Source organism: Homo sapiens, chromosome 10 (assembly GCF_000001405.40).
Source record: "Homo sapiens chromosome 10, GRCh38.p14 Primary Assembly".
Taxonomy (NCBI): domain Eukaryota; kingdom Metazoa; phylum Chordata; class Mammalia; order Primates; family Hominidae; genus Homo; species Homo sapiens.
Window position 1 is genome coordinate 53,336,317 of NC_000010.11, and position 9,392 is coordinate 53,345,708.

Sequence of the window (9,392 nt, forward strand, 5' to 3'; positions counted from 1 at the left end):
ACTCCTTCAAGCACTCCAGTTCCTGGCATTAAGATCAGGTGTGCCTGGGATGCTTTAAATATTTGTTCTTTTAATTTTGTTATAAACAAAAACAAGTTTGTAGAGTGTCCTTCTAGATGCTTTGTTATTCTTTCCCAAATTTTGATCTTATTAAGAGCTATTAATAGTTTCCACAAATCCTTATGTTTAGCTCCTACAGCGGGCCATATCATTTGAGGTTGAGGTGGCCACTATACCACCATGGTTCCAAATAATAAAAACTTTTGCCATACTTCTTATTATATCTACCATCTGACCATTTTGTTCAGATCAGCTTAACATAGCGTGGTCGTGGCACGCAGACTAAGAGGTGCAATTCAAGCTAAACATCCCCTTAGGGGACCAATCAATAATGATTCCATAGGAATCGTTGTGCAGCATCTCTGCCTGTTCTGCAATGCAATCTTCCTAAACAAGTGCGTTCATTATTTCTGGCCAGGTTCTATTTTGTTTACAAATAGGTTTTTGAGGGCAGTATGCCTCAATTATAGGAGCAGATTTAGTATGGTAAATACTGAGATCAGAAAGCATGTGTAACTGTGTCATAGAATGATTATATCCAGGCATTATTACCAGTCAGGATTGAAAAATATGCCCAATAAGTATAATTGTTCTCTGTGTCAGCCCTGGTTTAAGGAATACTCATGGCAATGGTGATCATCGCTATCATAGCTACCATTAAATTACTCACTGTGACTGGTTGTCTCGCTTTCCTCAGGTTTTCTTCCATCATCTGTGACAGCTTCTTGATCTGTCCCCAGGTGGGTGGCTGTGTTCAACAGGTGTTGCTTGTGACAGTTGTGGTCCTCCTCAGCATCAGCCTTGACATGGCTGCAACCAGGGGGTCTTTGGGATCCTCCCGGAATCTCTTCCTTGGCATCTGGCTCATGATGAGGTTTCAGGTGTCTTGATGGTATCTAAATTTGCTGTTGATTTTGTCCTGGAGAAATACAAGCATAACCCCACCCTAAGTTATTATTTTACCTATTTCCCAACTTTTTGTTATCAGGTCTCCCCACAAAATCAGTTGTTCTGCTTCTGTCTTTGCAGCTGGTTTCTGTAGGTGCTGTTCAGCTGCTGATAACATCTGGCCTTTGGGCAGCCTCAAAAAATTTAAGGTTAATAATGCTAGGTTCAGTTGCAACTGTGGGGCTCCATATTCTCTATTTCCCCCTTTCTGCTTTTGCAACTGCTGTTTTAGGGAAAGATTCATTCTTTCCACTATGGCTTGTCCTTGAGAATTGTATGGGATACCAGTAATGTGTTTAATATTCCACGTAGAGAAAAATGTAGCTAGAGTTTGACCAGTATAGCCTGGGGCATTATCTATTTTAATAGAGGCTGGAATACCCATCACCGCAAAACATCGCAGAAGGTGACATTTAACACAGGCAGAAGACTCTCCTGACTGGCATGTAGCCCAGAAAAAGTAAGAAAAGGTCTCCACACATACATGTACATAAGCTAGTCTCCCAAACGAAGGAAACTTGTGTGACATCCATTTGTCAAACAGAGTTAGGTTCCAATCCTCGAGGATTAATTCCTATAAAAGATGAGGAATGTACCATTTGGCAAGTTGGGCATCACTGGATAATAGCTTTAGCTTCTTTCCAGGTAATGCTGTATCTGCGTTTGAGACCAGAGGCATTAACATGGGTTAAATTGTGAAAGTGTCTAGCATTAAATATTGCATTAGCAACTAGGTGATCAGCCACTTGATTCCTTTCAGTCAAAGGTCCTGGAAGAGGTGTATGAGCCCTAATGTGAGTGATGTAAAAAGGGTGCATTCTACTTCTAACTGCTGTTTGCAATTGGGTAAATAAAGTCATCAGTTGTTCACCTGTATGAAATCGTAACTAAGCATTTTCATTTAACTGTGTGGAGTGAACCACATATGAAGAATCAGAAATCACATTAACAGGCATATCAAAAGCAGTCAATACCTCAATTACAGCTACAAGCTCTACTTTTTGAGCTGAAGTATAGGGCATCTGGAAAACTTTACTTTTCGAACCAGAATAAGAAGCTTTACCATTACCAGCCCCATCTGTAAAACAATGAAAATACTTAGCAGGCTGCAGGTTGTTTACCACAGGAATTGTAAATGCAAACCATTCACAGTCTTGCTCAGCTAAAGGGATAGTAAAGAAACAGTCTTTTAAATCTATGACTATTAAAGGCCAATTTTTTTGAATTATAGCAGGAGGAGGCAATCCTGGCAGTAATGCTCCCATAGGTTGTATTACTGAATTGATAGCTCTTAAGTCAGTTAACATTCTCCATTTACCTGATTTTTTCTTAATTACGAAAATTGGAGAATTCCAAGGGGAAAATGTTGGAGCTATGCGCCCATTTTCTAATTGTTCAATAATTTCTCTAAAACCTCCAGTTTCTCTTTACTTAGCGGCCATTGTTCTATCCAAATTGTCTTATCTGTTAACAATTTTAAAGGTGTACGTTCTGGAGGCTTAACGGCCACCATCAAAAATTATTTCCTAATCTTTGGCGGGAACTCTGCTTTTCCGCTTGAAGCGGTTATTTCAAACCTTGCAATTTTTTTTCTAGTCCCATACCAGGGACATACCCCATTTCATGCATCATATGTTGACTTTGAGGGCTATATAATTGTTCTGGAATTAGAATTTGTGCTCCCCATTGTTGTAATAAATCTCTCCCCCATAAATTTATAGGTACAGAATTCATAATTGGTTGAATAGTCCCAGGTTGTCCATTGGGCCCTTCACAATGCAAAATATAACTACTCTGATATACTTCAGGGGCTTTACCAACTCCAAATATGTTAAATTGAGCGAGTTGAATTGGCCACATGGACGGCCAGTGCTGTAGAGAAATGATTGAAATGTCCGCTCCTGTATCTACCAAACCTTTAAATTTCTTTCTCTGAATAGTTATTTCACAGGTAGGACATTTATCAGTAATTTGATTTACCCAATAAGCTGCTTTGCCTTGTTTATTTGTGCTTCCAAATCCTCCTGTTCATTTAATTTCACTTTTTCCCATTCCCACATACGGCACAATCAGGAGCTGTGCTATGCGCTCTCGTGGCTCTGCTTTCCAGGGAACAGAAGTAGATATAACAATCTGAATTTCCCCATTGTAATCTGAATCAATGACTCCTGTATGTATTTGTACCCCTTTTAAACTTAAACTAGACCTTCCTAAAAGTAATCCTATTGTCCCCGCTGGCAAGGGTCTGCAGACTCCTGTTGGGACCTTTCATGGGGGTTCCCCAGGCAGAAGGCTCACAGCTTTTGTGCAGCACAAACCTACTGCGACACGACTGGCTGTGGCAGGGGACAGACATTGTACAGGGGTGAGGGAATGGCCTGAGCTGGAAATGCCCCAGTTTAGAATGGGGCCCAGGACGGGCCCCTCATAGCATTTCCCGAAATCGGGTTACCTTCTCTATCAAACTTAGAGTGACACTGATTAGCCCAATGTTTTTCTTTTTTAAATTTTGGACATATTTCAAGATGAGCAGTTTTCTTTTTTCCCCTATCTGGCAGCCTGACTCACTGATTATTTCTACATTCTTTTTTAGTATGAATAGCTTGTTTAAATTCTTTGAGTAATTTAAAAGGAAAGGGCTCAAATGTAGCTATAATATTTCCCTGTTGATCTGGGGGGTGTATTCTAACAGGGAACTGCCAAGCCTCTAAATCACCCTCTCGTCTAGCTTGCTGAATTCCTGCCTGAATAGAATTAAGAGCGGTCGCTCGAGGCGCTGTTCGAACAGTCACTGCGGCAACTACTTTTTGCCGAGTATCCTCTGGAAAAGAAAGATCTGGAGGATCTCTTTCTTCAAAATAATGAGGGGGTGCAGAAGGGTAGGGATGAACCTCTCCTTCCTTTGCCGCTTTAGCTTTAGCTGGTAAATAAACATGCTGTGTAACCTCTTCTGTTACTTCGCTATACTCTCCTTCCTCCTCATCATCAGTGTGAAAAAGTTCCAAGGTGGAACGAACCAGACCCCACGCTTGTCCCATTGTTACTCTGATGCTTCCGAGCTCCCTTTCTTTTTTTTAATTTTATTTTATTTTATTATTATTATACTTTAAGTTTTAGTGTACATGTGCATAATGTGCAGGTTTGTTACATATGTATACATGTGCCATGTTGGTGTGCTGCACCCATTAACTCGTCATTTAGCATTAGGTATATCTCCTAATGCTATCCCTCCCCCCTCCCCCCACCCCACAACAGTCCCCAGTGTGTGATGTTCCCCTTCCTGTGTCCATGTGTTCTCATTGTTCAATTCCCACCTATGAGTGAGAACATGCGGTGTTTGGTTTTTTGTCCTTGTGATAGTTTGCTGAGAATGATGGTTTCCAGTTTCATCCATGTCCCTACAAAGGACATGAACTCATCATTTTTTATGGCTGCATAGTATTCCATGGTGTATATGTGCCACATTTTCTTAATCCAGTCTATTGTTGGACATTTAGGTTGGTTCCAAGTCTTTGCTATTGTGAATAGTGCCGCAATAAACATACGTATGCATGTGTCTTTATAGCAGCATGATTTATAATCCTTTGGGTATATACCCAGTAATGGGATGGCTGGGTCAAATGGTATTTCTAGTTCTAGATCCCTGAGGAATCAATCACCACACTGACTTCCACAATGGTTGAACTAGTTTACAGTCCCACCAACAGTGTAAAAGTGTTCCTATTTCTCCACATCCTCTCCAGCACCTGTTGTTTCCTGACTTTTTAATGATTGCCATTCTAACTGGTGTGAGATGGTATCTCATTGTGGTTTTGATTTGCATTTCTCTGATGGCCAGTGATGATGAACATTTTTTCCATGTGTTTTTTGGCTGCATATATGTCTTCTTTTGAGAAGTGTCTGTTCATATCCTTCGCCCACTTGTTGATGGGGTTGTTTGTTTTTTTCTTGTAAATTTGTTTGAGTTCATTGTAGATTCTGGATATTAGCCCTTTGTCAGATGAGTAGGTTGCAAAAATTTTCTCCCACTCTGTAGGTTGCCTGTTCACTCTGATGGTAGTCTCTTTTGCTGTGCAGAAGCTCTTGAGTTTAATTAGATCCCATTTGTCAATTTTGGCTTTTGTTGCCATTGCTTTTGGTGTTTAGACATGAAGTCCTTGCCCACGCCTATGTCCTGAATGGTATTGCCTAGGTTTTCTTCTAGGGTTTTTATGGTTTTAGGTCTAACATTTAAGTCTTTAATCCATCTTGAATTAATTTTTGTATAAGTTGTAAGGAAGGGATCCAGTTTCAGCTTTCTACATATGGCTAGCCAGTTTTCTCAGCACCATTTATTAAATAGGGAATCCTTTCCCCATTGCTTGTTTCTGTCAGGTTTGTCAAAGACCAGATAGTTGTAGATAAGCGGCATTATTTCTGAGGGCTCTATTCTGTTCTATTGGTCTCTATCTCTGTTTTGGTACCAGTACCATAGTGTTGGAAGTTCTGGCCAGGGCAATCAGGCAGGAGAAGGAAATAAAGGGTATTCAATTAAGAAAAGAGGAAGTCAAATTGGCCCTGTTTGCAGATGACATGATTGTATATCTAGAAAACCCCATCATCTCAGCCCAAAATCTGCTCAAGTGGTTAAGCAACTTCAGCAAAGTCTCAGGATACAAAATCAATGTACAAAAATCACAAGCATTCTTATACACCAATAACAGACAAACAGAGAGCCAAATCATGAGTGAACTCCCATTCACAATTGCTTCAAAGAGAATAAAATACCTAGGAATCCAACTTACAAGGGATGTGAAAGACCTCTTCAAGGAGAACTACAAATCACTGCTCAATGAAATAAAAGAGGATACAAACAAATGGAAGAATATTCCATGCTCATGGGTAGGAAGAATCAATATCATGAAAATGGCCATACTGCCTAAGGTAATTTATAGATTCAATCCCCTTCTTACTCACCATAGGGATTGCTTTAAGAGTACTCGGGTGTCCTCCAGCTAGTTCCACATTCTCCAACCGTCACTCTGATGACCCTTTGACCTGGATTGGAGCCCCCACAATGAACGCCACTTGCCGAGACCAGCTCGGTCAGGGAGACCCTAACCCAGCGGCACTAGAGGAATTAAAGACAGACACACATAGAAATATAGAGGTGTGAAGTGGGAAATCAGGGGTCTCACAGCCTTCAGAGCTGAGAGACCCAAACAGAGATTTACCCACGTGTTTATTAACAGCAAGCCAGTCATTAGCATTGTTTCTATAGATATTAAATTAACTGAAAGTATCCCTTATGGGAAACGAAGGAATGGGCTGAATTAAAGGGATAGGTTGGGCTAGTTAACTGTGGCAGGAGCATGTCCTTAAGGCACAGCTCTCTCGAGCTATGGTTTATGGCTTAAGAATGCCTTTAAGCGGGTTTCTGCCCTAGGCGGGCCAGGTGTTCCTTGCCCTCATTCCGGTAAGCCCACCACCTTCCAGCATGGGTATTATGGCCATCATGATCATGCCACAGTGCTGCAGAGATTTTGTTTATGGCCAGTTTTGGGGCCAGATTATGGCCAGATTTTGGGCGGCTTGTTCCCAACAACCCAATATATGTGTTACCCAATATATGTGCTAGTAATACAAAATCATCCTTAAAGAAGTGACTAATGTTCCAACACAATATGAGAAAAATTGCGTGTGCTTTCCTTATAGCAGCACAACTTCAAACATTTGACTGTGAGGCAGGTAGAATTCTAAGATGCGCCCATGCTCACTGCCCCCTGGGATATAATTCCCCTGCTTGGAATATGAGTAGAACCTCCCACTTTTTCTGAAGGAAATAATATAACAAGGATGTAATTAAGATCCCCAGTCATTTGACTCTAAGTTAATCAGAAAATCATCTTGGGTGGGCTTGGCCTAATCAGTGGGAGTTTTAAATAAGAGAGTCCGTACATTCTAAGAGGTAACATTCAAAGCAGCAGAGATCCTCTCTCTACAATGCTGGCTTTGAAGAAGCAAGCTGTAAAGAATTATATGGCTGCAAAGAAATGAATTCTGCCAATCATCCTGGGGAGTTTAGAAAGGCATCATTTCCTAATTGAGTCTCCAAATGAGAATGCAGCACAGCTGATGGCTTGCCTTCTGGCTTGTGAGGCCCTGAAAAGAGGACTCACAACTGTTTGTTTAATTACATTAAGAATAATGCCAAAAAACACGAGATTTCGTGTTTGTTACCATTAAAAGATTTTTAATTATATTCACCAGTGATTTTTAATCATGTACAAACTATATTGTATCAGAAAAGTTATTCCACCTCTCTGTGCCTACACTATATTGTAAAATTACAAGAAAAAAAAAACATGTAGTACCTGTCTCATATGGGCAGGAATAACTTTTCTGTTTTGCTGTTTAAAATCTAGTAGTGTATGTGCAAGATATTTTCACTGTGACATTTTGATTGACCTTTTCTTTTGTATTTGAGGCAAATATACTATCTGGGAAGGCAATGGCTGTATGTTCTTGATTATCTAACTTTGGTATAAGAAACACTTTCTGGTACTTGTTAAAAATGATGAACCAGGGATTTCTGGCTTCTACTTACAATGTTGGTAGCTAAAAAAGCATAGCTACTGCACTTAAAAATCCAAACAACAATTTCAAATTTATAAATGTTCTTGACCTTGTAAGAGAGCTGATGTCCTAGACGAGCAATTAACCTGAAATCTAGGGAAGGATGGCTGCTTCCAAAGATAGATGGGATATGGACAGTGGCTTATCTGGAGCAGGCACTGTCAAATATTAGTAAGAAAAACAATTAGCTAAAATTTTGAGTGCTGAAGGCTGAGTTTGGATTAGCATAAGGATAAAGAACCCCTGCAGGTGGTCGTCAAAAGATTTCTTACGGATTCATAGGCTCTTCTCTACAGATATAACTATGCTCAAGAAAGATTGAAAGCAGCTGACAGCTGTAAGAAGAGGGTCTTTCAAGGTTTAGGCATGAAGAGGGAAGTAGCAGGCTTTGCAGGAAAAGTTTGTGGTCCACCTGGATCAATTTTTCCTTCCTATCCTATGATGAAAGCCTCAAACTGCTGGGAGAAGCACAACAAACATTTTTGTTGCTGTTTATTGTTTTGTTTTTTTTCTTTTAATAGGTCACTGGGGAAACTCACTGCAGCTGGAATAATAGCACATTGAAACAAAATATTCTGCAACTTAACAAGGGTCAAAAATACGTGCTGGACCCACACTGATAGCTAAGGCCAGACAGGTTCACTAAGAAGAGTCCATTCCTAAGACTCAAGTAAATATACCGTGTTTACTTAAGACAAAATCCCAACAACAGAAAACGCCTAGACCTCCCATAACCAGGCTTGTAAGTGTCAAGTAATTTATAAGTAATGGCTGCTTTTTGCTGGGAGCAGGCATGGAGAGAAGTCTTAGAGTCTTGGTGCTGTTCTTCTTTATGTCGGTCTCAATTTTCTCCATCCATCATCCGTACTGCCACTAGCATCATAAGTTTACCAATGTAAATTGCATAGTAAGTTTACCAATGTAAATTTTTTTTTTTTTTTTTTTTTTTTTTTTTTTTTTTTGAGACAGAGTCTCACTCTGTCGTCCAGGCTGGAGTGCAGTGGCGCAATCTCGGCTCACTGCAAGCTCCGCCTCCTGGGCTCACGCCATTCTCCTGCCTCAGCCTCCCGAGTGGCTGGTACTACAGGAGCCCGCCACCGCGCCTGGCTAATTTTTTATATATATATATATATATATATATATATATATATATATATATATATATACACACACACACACACACACACACACACACACACACACGTATGTATATATATATATATATATATATATACACACACACACACACACACATATATGTAGTAGAGACGAGGTTTCACCGTGGTCTCTATCTCCTGACCTCGTGATCCGCCCACCTTAGCCTCCCAAAGTGCTGGGATTACAGGCGTGAGCCACTATGCCCGGCTGTAAATTTAATCATTTTTCTTTTCCTTAAAACTGTGAAAGCTGATTATATGAATTGGGTCATTCTTGTTATACCTAATTAAATCATAGTCGAGACGCTGGGGGGAAAATCACATAGCACCAGCTTCAATAATTGAAATTTCTGCAAGCCCAACTGCTATAACAGCCTGCTAGTAACTGTTGAAGCAAGCTGAAATAGCAGTGGCTCTAAGTCTAGGGCCTGCCAGCTCCCAAAAGCCTATCTACAGAGTCAATAAGCTTTCTTTCAAAAAAATTTATAACATCTCTCTTTATGATAAAGCTCCCAACTTTCTCTTTATTCTTGAAACATATTCAAGACATCAGGTCTGTGTGTATGCCCTGAACTCCAATTCTGTGATTCCAAATTAAATGTTTAATTTAGA

At 40.2% G+C, this 9,392-nt stretch overlaps 1 annotated feature.

Moving 5' to 3' along the window:
* Positions 1,807-2,398: an enhancer, noted in NCBI's record as "NANOG hESC enhancer chr10:55097883-55098474 (GRCh37/hg19 assembly coordinates)". NCBI's record gives its function as "activates a minimal SCP1, AML or CMV promoter by ChIP-STARR-seq in primed H9 embryonic stem cells {active_cell/tissue: H9 hESC(primed)}" and the evidence as "EXISTENCE:reporter gene assay evidence [ECO:0000049][PMID:30033119]".